General features: G+C 45.1%; 1 protein-coding gene and 1 pseudogene across 27 annotated transcripts, besides 3 other annotated features; both read left to right on the top strand.

The window, feature by feature from the left end:
- Nucleotides 4,141–4,360: a silencer, noted in NCBI's record as "silent region_14325". NCBI's record gives its function as "represses an Ori minimal core promoter by ATAC-STARR-seq in GM12878 lymphoblastoid cells {active_cell/tissue: GM12878}" and the evidence as "EXISTENCE:reporter gene assay evidence [ECO:0000049][PMID:35858748]".
- Nucleotides 4,451–4,580: an enhancer, noted in NCBI's record as "active region_19826". NCBI's record gives its function as "activates an Ori minimal core promoter by ATAC-STARR-seq in GM12878 lymphoblastoid cells {active_cell/tissue: GM12878}" and the evidence as "EXISTENCE:reporter gene assay evidence [ECO:0000049][PMID:35858748]".
- On the top strand, nucleotides 4,563–18,290 carry NME6 (NME/NM23 nucleoside diphosphate kinase 6). Of its 26 annotated transcripts, none has more exons than XM_047447174.1 (7): nucleotides 4,563–4,577; nucleotides 5,296–5,353; nucleotides 7,407–7,503; nucleotides 9,101–9,203; nucleotides 9,772–9,811; nucleotides 10,695–10,855; nucleotides 16,277–17,528. In XM_047447174.1, exons 2-7 carry the CDS (start codon nucleotides 5,349–5,351, stop codon nucleotides 16,657–16,659), a joined length of 789 nt encoding a protein of 262 aa, XP_047303130.1. In that variant the 5' UTR covers nucleotides 4,563–4,577; nucleotides 5,296–5,348; the 3' UTR covers nucleotides 16,660–17,528. The 26 variants fall into 26 exon arrangements, with proteins under 26 accessions (XP_047303130.1, XP_024309067.1, XP_024309069.1 ...); XM_024453299.2 differs by having other exon boundaries at nucleotides 4,563–4,634; nucleotides 5,296–5,403; XM_024453301.2 differs by having other exon boundaries at nucleotides 4,563–4,651.
- Nucleotides 4,661–4,860: a silencer, noted in NCBI's record as "silent region_14324". NCBI's record gives its function as "represses an Ori minimal core promoter by ATAC-STARR-seq in GM12878 lymphoblastoid cells {active_cell/tissue: GM12878}" and the evidence as "EXISTENCE:reporter gene assay evidence [ECO:0000049][PMID:35858748]".
- FCF1P2 (FCF1 pseudogene 2) lies at nucleotides 14,252–15,651 on the top strand (annotated as a pseudogene). Its single transcript, NR_134638.1, has one exon. The product of NR_134638.1 is annotated as an FCF1 pseudogene 2 (transcript).
- Nucleotides 18,291–19,559: the final 1,269 nt, after the last annotated feature.

Below are 19,559 nucleotides of genomic sequence, written 5' to 3'. Positions count from 1 at the left end.
CTACCAAGAATACATACTTTAAAAAATTAATTGATAAAAATCACTACACAAATGAATAGCAACAACAAACCTGGGGGAAGGGGAGAATCTGATTTCCAAAGTTGCCACATTATGTTGTTTAAAACATCCAATTTTCAATGAAATATTGTGACACATACAAAGAAACAAGAAAGTCTGGCCCATACACAAGAAAAAAAGATCAGTCAATAGGAATTGTTGCCAAGAAAGCTCCAATGTTGGACTTACTAGACAAAGACTTTAAATCAGCCCAGGCAGGTGACTCATGGCTATAATCCCAACACTTTGGGGGCCTGAGGTGAAAGGATCACTTGAGGCCAGGAATTCAAGACCAGCCTGGACAACATAGTTGTCCTATCTCTACAAAAAAATTAAAAATTATCAGGCATGCTGGCACGTGCCTGTAGTCCTAGCTACTTGGGAAGCTGAGGTGGGAGGATTGATTGCTTGAGCCCAGGAGGTTTAGGCTACAATGAGCTATGATTGTGCCACTGCATTCTAGCCTGGGTAACAGCGAGGCCTTATTAAAAAAAAATACACATACATACATGTATACATATTTTTTCAAAGAGATAAACTATGTCTAAAGAAATAAAGTATAAGAATGATGTGTGAACAAGTAGAGAACATCATAAAGAAATTATTTTTTTAAATATAACTTTCTTGAGGTGATAAGTACAATAACTAAAGTGACAAATTCACTAGAGAGGCTCAATAGCAAAGTTGAACAGGTAGAAGAAAGAACAAGTGAACTTGAAGAAAGATTGACATTAACCAGTGCGAGGAGCAGAAAGAAAAAGGAACAGAGCCCTGGAAGCCTTTGGGATATAATTAAGCATAACAACATAAAGATAATGGTAGTCCAGGAAGGAGAAGGAAGAAAGAAAAGGGCAGAAAGATATTTGAAGAAATAATGACTGAAAATATCTCAAATTTTTCAAAGAATGTTAACATATGCATCCAAGCAACTCAGCAAACTCCAAGTAGGACAAACTCAAAGAAATCCACACCTATACACATCATAATCTCTGTCAAAAGCCAAAGACCAAGAGAGAATTTTGAAAGCAGCAAAAGAGAAGCAAATCATTAAGTACAGATGACCCTCAGTAAGATTAACATCTAGTTTCTCGTCAGAAATCATGGAGGCCAGAAAGCAGTAGGATAACATATTCAAAGTGCTAACAGAAAAAAAACATCAGCCAAGAATTCTATATCCATAAAGAAAATCCTTCAGAAATGAAGAAGAGTGGTGACTCACTCCTGTAATCCCAGCACTTAGGGAGGCTGAGGCGGGTGGATCATCTGAGGTCAGAAGTTCAAGACCAGCCTGGCCAACACAGTGAAACCCTCTCTACTAAATATAATTACAAAATTAGCTGAGTGTGGTGTTGCATGCCTGTAATCCCAGCTGCTTGGGAGGCTGAGGCAGGAGAATTGCTTGAACCTAGGACGCAGAGGTTGCAGTGAGCCAAGATTGCACCATTGCACTCCAGTGTGGGCAACAAGAGCAAAACTCCATCTCAAAAAAAAAAAAAAAGAAAAAAAGAAAAGAAAAGAAAAAAAAAGAAATGAAGGAGAAAGTAAGATGACCAACAAAACTAATAAAAACCGAAATAATTTGTCTCCAGCAGATCCACCCTGCAGGAAATACTAAAGGGAATACTTTAGGCTGAAGCGAAAGGACACTTAAATCCACAAGGGGAAATAAAGAGAACTGGTAGAGGTAACTACACAGTTAAAGACAGTATAAATATATGGTTTTGTTTGTAAATCTTTTATTCTCCTATATGATTTAAAAGACAATTGCATAAAGCAATAGTTAATAATAAATAATAACAGCCAGGCGCAGTGGCTCATGCCTGTAATTCCAGCACTTTGGGAGGCCGAGGCGGGCGATCCATCGCCTGAGGTCAGGAGTTCAAGACCAGCCTGGCCAGCATGGTGAAACCCCATCTCTACTGAAAATACAAAAATCAGCCAGGCGTGGTGGCAGGTGCCTGTAATCCCAGCTACTTAGGAGGCTGAAGCAGGAGAATCGCTTGAACCCGGGAGGCAGAGGTTGCAGTGAGCCAAGATCACGCCATTGCACTCCAGCCTGGGCAACAGAGCGAGACTCTGTCTCAAAATAATAATAATAAATAATAATAACAAATTATACGCTTGATGATGTGTCACAGGTTTCTGAGGCTCTGTTCCTCTTTTTCTAACTTGTTGAGATGGAGGCTTACTGAATTTCCAGTCTTTCTTCTTTTCTAATATATGTATTTTAGGCTACAAATTTCCATCTAAGCAAGGCTTTAGCAGTATCAATTTTTAAAAAATTGTATCTAAGTACAGTATACATACAGAATTCACATAAGCGTAGCATTGAATGAGGCACCTGGTCAGTACTGTTTCTAAGTGTTTAGTAAATGTTTTTTATTACTACTGTGAATTGTCCTTTGCCTCTTATGCCATAGCATCCTGGCAATGGGGAGGGGTTTGAGGGTGGGATGGTGAAGAGATTCTGGGATTCCATTTTATTGGAGCATTTTTTTCCCCTTGCTTCTCATAAGGTGTCTGTCGGGGAGAGATCTGTGTCACTTATTGCAGTTTGTTGCATGCTGGAATGCTGCAGATTCTGGAATGCCATCTGTATCAGTTGTCTGGAATTTGGTTTCACATAAGGTTCTTGTCTTCTGTTTAACTGGTTTGCTGGGACTTCTGAAGTCCTGATGATCATACTGGGAAGGCAGACTCAGGGGTGGCGATGCTGGCTGTGGCCCTCATCTGCTGGGCCATGGTGGTTATTGTGTTGCTTCTTTTGCTGTGTCCTAGAACAGGGGCTTTACTGAGCCACCCATGTCCTCTGAGAGCTTTGCAACTTACAAGGACTGTTCTCTTCCTTCAGGGGCTGGGATGACTTGCTGATTTAAGCCCCTTTGTTGAGATACAGAGGTATTGTCATAATGACTGGGACTTGTGTTGCTCATCTTTGAGGAAGATTTGTTTAGGCTTGCTGTTATCCACCATATCTTTTATTTAGAGTAGTTTGCTGGCTAACTCACTGGGTCCTTTGGCCTACTGCAGATTCAGTTGCTACAACTCCGTCAGTGATTCCGTGTAGGGAGAAGTAATGGGTTGTCATTTTTGGAGTCAGGGTTGGGGGCCTGGGGTTTGAGAATCAGGTCAGAATTCATGGGTTGAGGTTTAGGGATTTGAGGTTGGGATTAGGAGGTTAGAAGATAAGCATCAAGGGCTCAGGATCTAGAGACCAGGTCTAGGATTAAAGGATTATAAATTTAGGGACTAGGGCTTGGGTTAGGATTGGAACTGAGTAGCAGAGGAGTTAAGATTAGAATAGGGGGTGGTGGTCAAGGGTCTAAACAAAAAGAGAAGAGATGCAAGGGTCTGCGGAGAGACTGGAAAAACTTTCCTCGTAAGTTCCCAAAGGTGACTGGGTATCAGGAAACTATTGGGAAGTGGCTTCTTATTGCTGCAGGGACAGAAGCCATGAGTTGGGGATAAACCTTCCAAGAGGGCAACACCTGTGTAGGCAGACACCGAAGTCAGTTAAATGTGCAAGTAAGTCTTTACATTGATGACAGTTATCGTTTATTTTCATTCTTCTCATTCTCAGTGATTTCCCTCAAAAAAAAAAAAAAAAACCCAAGAAACCAAAACACTTTTTTTTTTTTTAACCATCTTTATTCAACCTGTCACCAAGTTTCTGGTCACCTGCCACAGCTGACCCCCGATCCATTCTCCCTGTCCCCATCCTCTCCATACATCACAGTACACACCAGGAATACCCCCAGTTCTCATCTCCTCACCCTGGGCTGCGTCAATAGACTCCAGAGTAACCCAAACCACACCCTGCTGCCCAGATTCCTAATGACACGTGAAAGGCCGTTATGACTTGCTTTCCTCATGCCCTATGCACACCTGGGCTCCAGCCAAGGATCCTCCTTCATCAACCCCCATATTAGCTACGATCCTTCATGCTAATGTATCGCTCAGAGCTCAAAAGACTTTGAAGGGCCTGTGCCTTCGCTATCGAGCGCTTAAGTTCTTTGCCCTCCGCGTACTTTTGACAAATACTGGGCATCAACCATGTTCCAGGAACTACCCTGGGCAAAGAAAATAACTGGGCAAGGTTTCCATCGGTGTCTCTGCTGGCGGGCATCGCCCCCGCCGGGCCGCCACCCTGAACGAGCCCGTCCGGTCCTCTGGGTTCCGCCACCCTGCGTAGCGCTGCGCCAGCACCCGGCCCAGCACTCCCTCCCGCCGAGGGCGCCCAGGCCGGCTTCCGAGGGCGCCCAGGCCGGCTTCCGAGGGGCGGTTCCCACAAGCGAGTTCCGGCGCCCAGAACGGCTTCATCCTCTCGTCCCGTCCGCGGCAAATGCATGCGCCTGGAAAACCCGCCACCCTCCAGGGCAACTCACACCTCACCTCACGCCGCGGCGCAACCGGACTAGGACCCCGAGCAGGGCTGCCCAGGGAGCGCCTGAAGGACCCTGCGAGGGCCGCAGGCTATCCAGCGTGGCGCCTGGTGGCCGGGCCCTGTGCCGGAGGACAAGGTGAACCCGCAGCCGGACTTCTGCTGCACTGGGGCTCCGAATGACCCAGAATCTGGGGTGGGCTTAGGCCCCGGGTACGAGGGGTGAGGGCTGCGCGGTTGCAGGCCTAGAGAAGTAGGGGGCTGGGTCGAGAGTTGAGGCCGTGAGCCCGGGGGGCTGGAGGGCGTGGCCACGGGGGTAGGGGCGCAGGTCCCGGCCGCGCGTGGGTGGACCAGGGCTGGGCCGCCGCCCTCCAGGAAGCGAGTGGTGGCCCCCTCGAGTGCTGGGGTGGCAGTGTACCGACAGCTTTACTTTTTTTTTGTTTTGGAGACGGAGTCTGGTTCTGTCGCCAGGCTGGAGTGCAGTGGCGCGATCTCGGCTCACTGCAGCCTCCGCCTCCAGAGTTCAAGTAATGCTCCTGCCTCAGCCTCCCTAGTAGCTGTGACTGTAGGCGCGCGCCGTTATGCCTGGCTAATTTTTTTGTATTTTTAGTAGAGACGGGCTTTCACCATGTTGGCCAGGATGGTCTTGATCTCCTGACTTCGTGATCCGCCCGCCTCGGTCTTTCAAAGTGCTGGGATTACAGGCGTGAGACACCGCGCCCTGCCTAAAATTTTTAATTCTCATGGAGTCACCTTTAAGTCTAACAGGATTCTCGACTTGTCAGTTTGTTGTAAACCAAGAGTCAAGACAGCCACAACTTAGCTGCGTTAGTAAAGGAACCATGTCCTCCCTACAGGCCGCGTGTTCTTGCCACGAGAACCCCTAGCAGCCTGGCCTTGGAATGGCTGGATGAGGTGCATTCGTTGGTTCATTCAGATACTGTTAAGAGCCAGCTGTGTGCTAGGTACTGCTTACACCTTCTGGTGGTGAAGACGGAACTGAAGGGAACTTGCAAGGAGCTGTGAGAAAGTGTAACGGGAAGTGAGCTAAGATCACTAAGGTGGGCAGGAGGCAACCAGAGAAAGCACATTCAGGACTGCGAAAACTACTCACACAAAGGCTGTCAAGCCAGAAATTCTTTCAAAACTGAAAGGCCCATGAGGTTGGAGCTAGAGAAACTTAAGGAGTGTGGGGTTCCAGATGAGGCTAGAGAGGTACGTGGGGAACCACAAGATCATGCAGAGCCTGGGAGGCCGTGATAAGGATTTTGGTTTTTATTCTAAGAACAGGGTGCCCTTTAAAGGGTTAAGGAGGGGAACCATATGATTAGATTTTCATGTGTGGTTCACTTTGGCTGCTGTGTGGAGATTGTAGAGGTTGGCAGGACAGAAACTGGGAGACCAAAGAGGAGGCTGTCAAGATGTCCAGAGGGGAATGATGATGTCTTAGAGTTATGGTGGTAGCAGTTGAGGATGGGAGAATGGTATGGGTTTTGAGATATATTAGGTAGGGAAAATTGCCAGAAGTTGGTGATCGTGTGGATATGAAGAGTGAGGGAGGGGAGGTGTCATGGATGTCTCTGTAGACAGTTGCTGAAAATGACGTGTTACCACCTGTGGCATTAGGGAGAGTGGGTTAGCTGATCTTGTACTGGTTAGATTGGGTGTGGCTTTATGGTTTGAGTGGAAAATCAGGTTGAAAGCTGTAGAAAGGACATGAATAGGAGCGACCATGGCAGTTTCTTTGCTTGGGCCAGATTCTAATACCACCTTTAACATGATTGACAGTTTTTAGGATAAGATAAATGAGAATGTTGTCTAGACTCTGTCCCTGCCTATGTTAATGGAAGCCTTCTCTGTATTTGTCGACAAATGATTTTATATATATACACACATATATATTATATATATATACACACACACACATACACACATATGTAGTAGAGTCAGGGTCTTGCTTTGTTGCCCAGGTCAAACTCCTGGCCTCAAGTACTGATATTACAGGTGTGAGCCACTACACATGGCCAAATGAGAGATAATATTGAGATAAGATTTTGAGACAAAGTCTTTACTCCTGCAGAGGTGATAAATTTCTCACGTATAACTCGGATTTCACAATTGGAAAAGACCTCAAAATTCCCTTAGTCCAGTTTATAAAATGCTTTTATGTCCATTATATCATTTCTACAATATTGAGCTCTTACACCATGCTAGACATTAGGAATACAAAGATGAATAGAAATAAGACTATATAGGTTTATTTAGTAAATAAAATTGATCAAGCACCTTTGTGTCAGGCACTGTTTCAGATGCAAAATGGTTATGACTTGTTCCTGATGTTGGAGTTGTGTGTTGACCTCAGTGTTACCACTGAGGACAGCTGAGTGTATTAACAGGTTTGATTTGGGCACAGGAGATCCTGATCTCTCCATAATATTAGAATAGAGATGGTGTTTATCCAGCAGACTTTTTGGTATCCTGGTAGCACCTCAGTTGCTGTCCATCAATCTTCCAATTCTAGATTTGATAGGAGAGCACTATGGGATGGAAGATTTTAAGAGATGAATTCATCATTATGAATAGGCCTTGTGGATAGGCTGTTTAGGAGTATAAATTGTAAATCCTCTGTAAAATACAAAAGGAAGTTAGGAAGGGATATTGGCAGAGACAGGTAGTATTTAAACTTGAGTTTCTTTTAATGGGTAATTCCCTCATAGGCTTACAGTTGCACTAGATTGTATACTCCACGGGGGAACTTGAATGCTCCCTCTACAACTCCCCTCCCTTGATCCCATGAGCCCAAATGGGCAATTAAAATAATGTATATGGCCTTAAGATGAAACTGTCAGGTTCTTTATGAGTGTCAGGAGTGAGAGCACTCGTTGGCTTGCAAGGCTGCGTGGCTCCAATGTAGGGAAGGCTGGGAGTGCCGTCCTGAAGGGTTCCTAATACAGCTCTCTAATGGCAGGAGTGAGATGGCCTCAATCTTGCGAAGCCCTCAGGCTCTCCAGCTCACTCTAGCCCTGATCAAGCCTGACGCAGTCGCCCATCCACTGATTCTGGAGGTAAGAATGAATCCTAAGTCTCTACCGCATGCCCTGGGAATTGCTACTGCTTCAGGTGCCATTGGGCCATTTATGGTGACTGACAACACAGACTTGTGCTGGATGCTGTGGAGGCAAAGCTAGAAGCCATGAACTCTGACCTAAGGAGACTAAGAATCCATTGGAGACTTGAGGCAGACCTAAAATGTAAGAAAGGACCCAAAGCAATAATAGAACCGAATATCAAGACAATGTGTATTTGTTAGTTTCTATTGCTACATAACACATTACTCCAGACTTGAGAGCTTAAAACAACACTTATTTGTTATTTCACAGTTCAGTAGTTTAGAGGTCCAGTAGGCTTGGCTGAGTTGTTTGCTTAAGGTCTCACAAGGCCAAAGTCAAGGTATTGGCTGACCAGGTCCTTATCTGGAGGGTCTGGGGGAAGAATTCACTTCCAGACTCATTCAGGTTGTTGGCAGAGTTGATTTCTTATGATGGTAGGACTGAGGCTGCCATTTCCCTGTTGGCCTTCAGGCAGGAACTCCTTTCAGTTTCTAGATACCACTCACATCCCTCATCACATGGCCCAGTCTGTCTTCAAGACAGCTGCAGTGCATTGAATCCTTCTCATGCTTTGAATCTCTCTGACTTCTTCAGCCTCTAGCCAGAGAAAATGCCTGGCATTGAGAAGCCTTCACAATTCTAATCCCACAGGGCTCATGTGATTAATTAGGCCCACCTGGATAATCTCCCTTTTGATTACAGCAGAATCAACTGATTAGTAACCTTAATTTCCCTCAAAATCCCTGTTGTTATGTAATGTAACATAATCATATTGCATCATATTCACAGTCCTGGAGATTAGGGTGGGAAATCTTGGTGGGGCTCGGGGTCATTTTCACATTCTGTGTACCATAGTTTGATAAATACTAACTGAGTAGCACTGCTAAGTAAGCCCACTATGGTGCAGAGGAAGATCTAAGCAGTCAGGAGTGGGGGCCTGGAAGTGGCAGGACTCAGCTGGGCCTCAAAGGAATGGTAAACTTTGGTTAGTGCCAGGAGAAGGACAGGTGTTGCACAGAAGGGAGACGCTGAGGCAGGAATGCATGTGATGGGTCTGAGGGCCGCAGGCAGCCTGCGATGGTGAGACTAGAGAATTGGTACAGAGTAAGGAAAGTATAACCTTGAGCACTGGGCTAAAGTGGTTGTACTTCATTCCTTGAATAACAGGAACTACTTAACACCTTCTGACCAGAGTGTGACGTGTCAATTATAGAGTTTCTCATCTATCAAGTGTGATGGTTTGGAGGGAGTGAGAGAAACCCAAGGCAGGACCACTAACAAGACTTTTATGGTGGTCTGAGTGGTGGGTCCTGTGGTCTTGAGCTCAAGGGGTTATAGGTATGGAAGAGCAGAGACAGCGCATCCTATCCCCTTTCACCCAAGGTGCACACTCTGGCTGTGTGACTGAAGGTCTTCACCTCACCCCACCTCGTCTTCTCACCCTTCAATGGGACAAACCCTCAGGTCCTGAGCAACAAGTGGTCCTCATGGTTTCTTTTGGTCAGTTTCAGTCTCCTGATTGATTTTTATTTTGGGGATGGTCTTTATTCAGGCTGTTCATCAGCAGATTCTAAGCAACAAGTTCCTGATTGTACGAATGAGAGAACTACTGTGGAGAAAGGAAGATTGCCAGAGGTTTTACCGAGAGCATGAAGGTAGGATCAGTAGTCCTCTGAATGGAAGGTGCCTCAATCCCAAGAGGCCATAAGAGAGATTTTACCTGGAACACAATGGCAGGCTCTCTGACCTACCAACCGTGTACAGTTGCAGCCAGTTTTCTAAAATCTTGGTTTAAAACACACACTTTTCATGATTATCCATCTTTTCCCAAGGAGGGTTCTACCTTGTAGTCCCAACCAGAAACTTAGTTTTATGTCTTGATAATATCAGTAGTTAACATATAGTGAATGAATGTTTACCATCAGACATTGTCCTAATGCTCATTTTTTCATTCAATTTTCCCAACAACCCTAAAAAGTAGGTGTTGTTATATCCCTCGTACGCAGATTAGGAAGCCAAGTTTAGGAGGTTAATGATTTACCCAAAACTACGCAGGTTGTAAGTGGCAGACCCTGGATTCAGACCCAGGTTTGTCAGACTCCAAGGTCCTTGTTCTTTTCTCTGAAACAATTTTTATTATTCTAGGTAAGGAGGTAGAAGTACAGAAAGTTGCCTTGGGCACCAGGATGAAGGTATCTTGATGAAGGTCCTCTCTCTTTGCAGGGCGTTTTTTCTATCAGAGGCTGGTGGAGTTCATGGCCAGGTACTTCAAATTTGGTTCCAGCATCTTTATCCACTGAGGCTAATCTCCCCTGCCCCTAAATGGATTTGTTCATTTCACTGCCATTCTTTAAAGTTGTAATCAGGCCAGGCACGGTGGCTCATGCCTGTAATCCCAGCACTTTGGGAGGCTGAGGCGGGTGGATCACTTGAGGTCAGGAGTTTGAGACCAGCCTGGCCAATGTGGTGAAACACCGTCTCTACTAAAAATACAAAAAATTAGCCCGGCATGGTGGCAGGTGCCTGTAATCCCAGCTACTCGGGAGGCTGAGGCAGGAGAATCGCTTGAACCTGGGAGGTGGAGGTTGAAGTGAGCCAAGATCGTGGCACTGCACTCTAGCCTGGGCAACAAGAGTGAAACTTCGTCTCAAAAACAACAACAACAGCAAAAAATTAGCCAGGCATGGTGGCGGGTGCCTGTAATCCCAACTACTCGGGAAGCTGAGGCAGGAGAATCACTTGAATTCAGGAAGCAGAGGTTGCAGTGAGCCGAGATTGAACCATTGTACTCTAGCCTGGGCAACAGAGTGAGACTCCATCTCAAAAAATAAAGTTGTAAACAATGTCAAATCTGAAGAAACACGGGTTTGGGGCTGTCACTGAGCCGATGCTGACCTGTTAGGCACCTGTCCTCTGGTGGTTAGAAGAGTCCCCTTGAATGCTGCATAGCCACCCTGCTGATCTCTGCAGGCTTGATGTACACCAGCAGGGGCCCTGCATCACCTATTTGAAGCAGCATTGGTACTCAGCTGGAAAGGCAGGAAAACTCTCAGAACGTAGAGTGTGTTTTTATTCAGGCCCTGCTCACAGCACACCCTCCTAGTCTAGATGGCCAGGTTCTTTACATGTGCTTGTTTTGTTCACAGCGGGCCAATCCGAGCCTACATCCTTGCCCACAAGGATGCCATCCAGCTCTGGAGGACGCTCATGGGACCCACCAGAGTGTTCCGAGCACGCCATGTGGCCCCAGATTCTATCCGTGGGAGTTTCGGCCTCACTGACACCCGCAACACCACCCATGGTTCGGGTGAGTCCCCTGTCCATAGCCATAGGATATTTTGGGGTTAGCGGGCAGGCTGTGTGGTAGAGTTGACAGCCAGGTCCCTCCAGTGAGCTTTCTTCCATTTGTGTTTCTGGTCTTTGTAGCCATGTTGGCAGATGTGGCCTGTGGACTTTCTTTACATGCCCCAGGACTGAAGGGGCAGGCAGAGTAGAGGCTCAGGATTCTGAACCTGATTATGACTGCCTCTTGCTTCTACCATGTGAGAACCCCTTCTCTGTCTTATCTCCCCTTACAGACTCTGTGGTTTCAGCCAGCAGAGAGATTGCAGCCTTCTTCCCTGACTTCAGTGAACAGCGCTGGTATGAGGAGGAAGAGCCCCAGTTGCGCTGTGGCCCTGTGTGCTATAGCCCAGAGGGAGGTGTCCACTATGTAGCTGGAACAGGAGGCCTAGGACCAGCCTGATGCAGGTCTATGAAGACCAGTGGTAGTGCCCAGACTTCTCCTAGACATCTAGTCTAAAACATTCTCCTAGGACCAGGGAAGCCTGGCTTACAGTGCCATTTCTGCTGGGCACCACCACCTGCCTGAGGGCCTAGCTCACCACAGCACATCCTCCAGGATCTAGCCTTCTATCTACCTCTTCTCTGGAATGTTTATGGTGGTTCAGAAGAATGATGACTCCTCTTTGCTGAGAACTGTTCATCCTTCTTCAAGAAGAAGCTTGCCAGGCCGGGCACGGTGGCTCACGCCTATAATCCCAGCACTTTGGGAGGCCGAGGCAGGCGGATCACAAGGTCAGGAATTCGAGACCAGCCTGACCAACATGGTGAAACCCCATCTCTACTAAAAATACAACAATTAGCCAGGCATGGTGGTGCATGCCTGTAATCCCAGCTACTCAGAGGCTGAGGCAGGAGAATTGCTTGAACCTGGGAGGCAGAGGGTGCAGTGAGCCGAGATCGTGCCATTGCACTCCAGCCTGGGCGACATTCTGTCTCAAAAAAAAAAAAAAAGAAGCTTGTCTAATTGACTTGCCTAAAAAATGCAGTGACTCCAAACAACATTTGACCTGTCTTCCTCAATAAAAGTCAGTGTTCTCCTGAATCCTTTATGCTGCCACATTTAGGGGAAACTTTTCAGGCTTCATCATTCTGACTTCTCAGCAGCATTCAGTTATTGCTTCATTCTCCAGAAACACTCTCTTCTCTTGGATTTTCTGATCCCACACCCTTGGTTTTCTCCTTCTGTGTGTTTTTCTTCATCTCCTTTATCAGCTTATGCAAACATTTATTTTCATAAATTCTCTATTCAAGACATACTGAAAAATGCAAAGATGGTTAAGACATGATTGGGTCCTCAAGTTGCTAATTATGAATTTGGGTGGTCAGCCAGCTATAACGTGGCAGAGATGGAGAAGTGCCCTAACAGAGGTATAAAGTCCTGTGGGAGAACAGAGGAAAGAAGGTTTCCTTTGGCTGGGTGAGGAGGTGAAGGAGATAGGGTGGAAAGTCTTTTATAAAAGATATAGCTGGCTTTGGAACTAAGCCTGAAGGTCAAATAGGGTATCCATAGCAGGGGTCTGGGGCACTAGACAGTCTGTTCATTTTCAGGAATATATGGGTCAGTTTTGTATGTGTGACCTAAGAAACCTGTGACACTTCTTACAGGTCTTGACTTTTCTTTCTCAGTACATGTGTATTTCTCTTTTTGGTGGCCTTGAAACCTTTGAGTTGAAAATTGCCTTCACCATCTGCCACTTTCACTAATGGTAGACCAGGAAATTTGGACCCACTGAACATAGAGAACAACTAGAAAAGCTGTGCAAAATATAAACAGCATCTATCTGAAAGCATCAGCTGGCAATATAGAACCAAAATTCAGGACACGAAGGAAACTCAAGAGAAGTGAGCCTGGGACTTAGAGCTACTTTTCCCATAAGGGCACCTGCTGATTCTGGAAGAGGCAGCTAAGAAGCTGAGTAGAACTTTCAACAACTTCTTGTGTTAGGGAGCCAGCTTCATGAATGCTGGCAGAAAACACAGGATTACTTGGGCAGAGACTACTGCTCAGGGCACAGCAGGCAGTGTGTTAGCCTTGGTCTCCCTTGCCCTCCAAGTCCCACAGGGCAATACTGGCAGGCCCAGGAAAGTGTTACACACTGCAGGTTTGCATGACGGCTAAGGAACCACAATCTTAGGGAGATACTATCTCTGTCTTCTAAGGCCATTTGCTGTACAAAAATCCTTGAAATACCTGGGCACAGTGGCACACCTATAATCCTAGCACTTTGGGAGGCTGAGGCAGGCGGATCACCTGAGGTTGGGAGTTCCAGACCAGCCTGACCAACATGGAGAAATCCCGTCTCTACTAAAAATACAAAAATTAGCCAAGCGTGGTGGCGCGAGCCTGTAATCCAGCTACTCGGGAGGCTGAGGCAGGAGAATCGCTTGAACCCAGGAGGCGGAGGTTGTGGTGAGCCAAGATCACGCCGTTGCACTCCAGCCTGGGCAACAAGAGTGAAACTCCATCTCAAGAAAAAAAAAATCCTTGAAATAGTCTGGAACAAAATCTGTCAACATCTCAGCCCACAAAGTATCAACAAAATTGATATTTTGTTGCATTTAAAAAATTTAAATGGTGGTCAAAGCGTACAAAATCTGACAATTAAGACACCCACAAGAGACACAGAATTATCTCCCAATAAAATTGTCTCATAAAAACCTGGCTCCCACAAATATGGAAAGGGAGAAAACTAGAATAAACCCTGTGGTGTCGAATTGGAGATATCAGTGTGAACTCGTGTATTTCAGTCTATAGAGATAGATGTAAATATGTTTTTGTATGTATAGTCCTTTGCACTGATGTGAGAGCAATGACACTCCAATAGTAATGACCACACCCAGCACCCAGGTCCACCAAAAGACAAAGTGCTATGGACTGAATTATATCCCCCTAAAATTCATATGTTGAAGCCCTAACCCCCAATGTGATGATATTTGGAAATGGGACATTTGGGAGATAATTAAGTTTAGATGGCCAGGTATGGTGGCTCACGCCTGTAATCCCAGCACTTTGGGAGGCCAAGGCGGGCGGATCACAAGGTCAGGAGATCGAGACCATCCTGGCTAACACGGTGAAACCCCGTCTCTTCTAAAAATACAAAAATTAGCTGGGTGTGGTGGCACGCACCTGTAGTCCCAGCTACTTGGGAGGCTGAGGCAGAAGAATTGCTTGAACCCAGGAGGTAGAGTTTGCAGTGAGCCAAGGTAGTGCTACTGCACTCCAGCCTGGGTGAAAGAGCGAGACTCCGTCTCAAAACAAAATGAAACAAAACAAAACAAACTATTGCCTATAGCAAACCAATTGTAGCCTGGGCAACATAGTGAGACCCTGTCTCTATAAAAACTAAAAATAGGCTGGGCGCAGTGGCTCATTCCTGTAATTCCAACACTTTGGGAGGCTGAGGGGGGAGGATCACTTAAGTCCAGGAGTTTGAGACCAGCCTGGGCAACATGGTGAGACCCCTGTGTCTACAAAAATAAAAATAAAAAACTTAGCTGGGTGTGGTGGTGCATGCTTGTGTCCCAGCTACTTGGGAGGCAAAGTGGGAGGATTGCTTGAGCCTGAGAGATTGAGGCTTCAGTGCAGTTTGAGCCACTGCACACACTCCAGCCTGGGTGACAGTGAGACCCTGTCTTAAAAAAATAAGAGTATGACATGAGCATGTGAGAGCAAAAGAAAACAAGGAAGTCTGCGACCATGAAGCGAATGCTTAGTCTCTGATATCACAGGCTTAAAGAAAATGATAAAGACCTAAAAAGAAAAGAAATATCCCAGCATGCTGAAGGAAAGAAAAGTTCCCCAATACCCTTCCTGCTTATTTTTCCAATATATTACACAGCTGGGTCCACCTTACCACGTCCTGTTTGATTCCAGCGTTACCAACTTTTCTATTGGAGCCAAATAAGACATACTGCAATCAGTGATGAACTGTCTATATGCCAAGTGTATCCCTTGTGTAACTGTGTAATGGCTGAAACTGAGAAATTGGGGCGAAGTATCAAGTGGCTTAAAGGATTGCCAAGGATCCAAAATTTGAACGATTACCAAATTACCACGCACAGGAAGGAATCTATGCAGATGACTGCTTAGCACAGAGAGTTACTCAGCATAAGTGTTGTAGCCACGAACCTGGGACCTTAAAAGAAGAATCCTAAGATTCTTGGAGTTCCTATCATGTACATTTCTAACCATAGATACAACATGGGAACTGATGTCAGATGATTATGGAGCCCCTTGGTTCTAATTCTTGCCCAAGTTCCTCTGCCTTTCTTCCACCAACTTTCTCTTGTTGCCAGTTCATTAAACATGGAATAGAATGTTATTCTGTTCAATTCATTTGCCCTGTTATCAGCTGAATATGGTTAAACACACTCAATTTTTCATGCTGTTTTGAAATTGATATTTTGTTGCATTTAAAAAATTTAAATGATGGTCAAAGGGTACAAAATCTCCGACAGGAAGAATCCATTTTATAATTTTTTTGAGGTCTGTTGCACAGTGTGGTGAATATAGTTAGTAGAGTATTATACATTTCAAAATTGCTAAGAGTAAATTTCAAATGTTCTCACTACAAAATGCTAAGTATTTGAAGTGATGGATATGTTAACTAGCTCGATTTAATTATTCTACATTGTATCCACAGATTATGACATCATTTTGTAACCCATAAATTTATACAATTATAAATTGTCATTTACAGTAAGAAATAATTTGTTGCATCTTTTTAGAAAAATAAAATAATTTTTTACATCTGTGTAGTTCAGGTAAAAAAAAATTTTTTTTTAATTTTAATAAAATAAAATTTAAAATAAAATAAAAATGGTGGCACATGCCTGTAGTCCCAGCTACTTGGGAGGCTGAGGCAGGAGGATCACTTGAGCCTGGAAGGTGGAGGCTGCAGTGAGCCGTGATTGTGCCACTGCTCTCCAGCCTGGGTGACAGCGAGATCCCGTCTCAAAAAAAAAAACAAAAAACCATTGTATTTGTTTCTGGTTTACTCTTCTTACATTTCTTTTTGAAAAAATGTGTTTCCCCTTCCTCCTCACACAAAAGATAACATACTTCATGATACTCCTTTGCATTTTGTCTTTTCTTTAACCCTGAAATATAATCTAGAAGTCACTTCATATAAGCTCATAACAGTCTTCTTTATTCTGTGTTTTACAGCTGTGTAATATTCCATGTGTGGGCATACCATAATCTGTTCAATAACAGGCATTTAAATGGTCTCCAAAATTTTCCTATTACAATTAATTTCACATTGAACAATCGTGAACATGTGTTGGTTTTCCCCCATCTTTAGCTGTGCACACTAGTTACCTATTGCTACAGTATTGCTGTGTAGCCACTCCAAAATTTAGACTTAATCATCTTTTCTCACAGGTTTTCAGATGAAGACTAGGTGTGGGGCATCTGTGAGCTCAGGCGGGAGCTGTAAGGGAGGAGCAGCCAGGAGAAAAGAGGGAAGGAAACACCGAGTCTTGCACCCATGTCTGAAATCATTCTCCGGTGTGTCTGCGGCTCTCCACATCCACTGCTCCATCCTGGCCCAAGCGACCTTCATCTCTTACTGGATCTCAAGCCTCCCAACTTGTCTCTTCCACTCTCACCATCCACCCCCTCCCTCAATCCACCTTTCCACACACATTAAAAAAGTGTTATTTTTTAGGCGGGGTGTGGTGGCTCACGCCTGTAATCCTGGCACTTTGGGAGGCCGAGGTGGGCAGGGCAGATCACCTGAGGTCGGGAGTTCGAGACCAGCCTGACCAACATGGTGAAACCCTGTCTCTACTAAAAATACAAAATTAACTGGGCATGGTGGTGCCTGCCTATAATCCCAGCTACTCGGGAGGCTGAGGCAGAAGAATTGCTTGAACCCAGGAGACGGAGGTTGCGGTGAGCTGAGATCACGCCATTGCACTCCAGCCTGGGCAACAAGAGCGAAACTCCGTCTCAAAAAAAAAAAATTATTTTTAAATGTCCATCTCTTCAGGTCACCCCCATTTAAAACTCTCCACTGCACACTGAATACTAAGACCGGCACTCCCCCACAGCACTCTTCAGTGTCCTCTCTCACCACTCACCCACTCCTAGTGCTGGAGCTTGATGGACGTTCTCTACCTGCTAGGGTCTTTACCCATGAGGTCCCCCTACTTCCTGCCTGGCTCATTCCTGTTTCTCCTTTAGGTCCCAACTTAAATGTACTTTCCATAGGAAGGCCTTCCTACATCCTGCAGTCCAACTAGGTTCTCCTAGTAATTTACTCTGTCATGCAGTGTATCATGCTCTTCATAACATGTACCACCATTGTAATTAAGTCATGATTCCTATCTTTTTTTTTTTAAAGACTGGTCAAGTGCAGCAGTGAGAAAGGGGAAAGAGTAGAACAAGGCATTCAACCTGTAACTAACTGTGAACAATTGAGATAACTCACTACCTTCAGACCAGCCTCATAGCTTATTTGTTTAAAATCTGGCTTTCTGAAGGGAAAACAAATTTCATTAGTGCAAAGGCTGTTTTCTTCATGCCTGTATCCCTGTCACCCAGCACAGTACCAGGCATATTGCTCCTTTATTAATGGTAATGAATAGTATCCATACTCTAATCTTTGACATTATTAGAATTCTTCCATCTCTAAATTTTTTTTTTCTTTTTTTTTTTTGAGACAGGGTCTCACTCTGTCACCTAGGCTGGAATGCAGTGGCGTGATCTCTGCTCACTGCCACCTCCCCGACTCAGGTGATCTTCCCACCTGAGCCTCCCAAGTAGCTGGGACTACGGGCATGCTCCATTATGCTGGACGAATTTTTGTATTTTTTGTAGAGATGGAGTTTTGCCATGTTGCCCAGGCTAGTCTTGAACTCCTGGGCTCAAGCGATTCACCCATCTCGGCCTCTCAAAGTGCTAGGATTACAGGCATGAGCCACCACGCTCTTACTTTTAAGCTAAAAAAGAAAATCTTAAATCAGTAAATCTTACTCTGAAGTCATAGTCCCTTCTACATCCCTGTCTTATGTCTCCCACGTCTTCCTAGACCGTCCACTCCTCCACTTTCCTAGATATATTCATGTATTCTCCTTTCTCTTCAAACCTCCAACACCTCCTCCCCCTTCCTCACTCTCCAGCTGTTAACCTTACTTCCTATTTCAGGAAAGTAACAAAAACAGCCAGAAGAGAAACTTTTCAGACTCCCAAGACCACATTGAGCCACCTATCTCCATCTGTGCTTATGTACTCTGCTTCCTTCTTGTTAGGATGAACAATGGGCGAACCTTCCAAGTTCCTATTTAAAGTTACCCCAATCTGTGCAGAAGATCCTGTCTCCTCCCACCTACTCAAGGCATTACTCTGGCAATTATTTCCTGTCTTTCTTGGATCATCAAGAGACAGATCTTACAAACATGCTGTATTTTCTCTTATTTATTTATTTATTTTTTATTTTTTTTTCTTGAGACAGAGTCTCACTCTGTCCTCCAGGCTGGAGTGCAGCTGTACAAGCTCAGCTCACTGCAACCTCTGCCTCCTGGGCCCAAGTGAACCTCCTGCCTCAGCCTCCTGAGTACCTGGAACTACAGGTGTGTGCCACCAAGCCTGGCTAATTTTTTTATTTTTTGTAGAGCCAGGTTTTCACCATGTTCCCCAGGCTGGTCTTGAATTCCTGAGCTCAAGTGATCCACCTGCCTCAGCTTTCCACCCAAAGTGCTGGGATTACAGATGTGAGCCACTGTGCCTGGCCCACAGTCTACATTTGAGGCTCATATTCAAGGTTGAGTTACAAGGCCCAAAGTCCACTTCCAAAGTCCAGGCTCAGGCACATAAGTCCAAGGTCTAATTCTAGGTCCACTTCTAGATCTTAAATCATCCCAAGGCCCAGATTAAATCCATGTCTGAAGTCCAAGGTTAAATATCCAGTACCAGGTCAAGTATCAGCTCTAAGATCCAGATCTAAGTTCTAAGTCCAAGGTTATGCATAATCATTCTGAGTTATAGGACTGGGGACCAGGAATTTAGGTTCAACTCTAAGGTCTGATGGTCACGTCTAAGGTCTAAATCCATGACTGAAGCCTAGGTCCAAGGACTACAGGAGCAAAGGAAAATTTCATTACCAAAATTTGCAAGTGAGGTCCAAATCTTATCCCTGGGTCCAGATCCAGGTCCAAGTCAAAGGTCCAAATCCAGGTACAATTTCCATGTTTAAGGTATAAGATCCATGGCCCAATAAAAAGCAAGGTCTGAGATCCAGGTCCAAGATCCAGGTAGAGATTGAATTTCCAGTTATAAAGTCAAATACAAGAAATGAAGGTCACCTCCCTGTTTAAATTTCAGATCCAAGGTCCAAGATGCAGTTCCAAAGACGCGGGTGTTGGGCCATGTGCAAGGACCAAGTCCATGTTCCAAATCAAATCAAGGCCTGCATCTAGGTCCAACATCCAAGACCAGGTCCAGATCCAGATCCAAAGACGAGGTCCACAGCCAGGGACAAATTCTAGTCCAAGGTCCAAGTCCAAAGTCCAAGTCAATTTACAAGGTCCAGATCATGGTCCTAAGTCCAAGATACACATGGAGGTCCAAGTCCCATGTCCAAGACCCAAGAATGATTCAGATCCATTTCATGACCAAGGTTCAGGTCTAAGGTGAGTTCCAAAATGCAGAACAAATCCAAGTC

Source organism: Homo sapiens, chromosome 3 (assembly GCF_000001405.40).
Source record: "Homo sapiens chromosome 3, GRCh38.p14 Primary Assembly".
NCBI lineage: Eukaryota > Metazoa > Chordata > Mammalia > Primates > Hominidae > Homo > Homo sapiens.
Note: the sequence above shows the minus strand (reverse complement) of the source record. Positions and strands in the feature narration are given on the sequence as shown.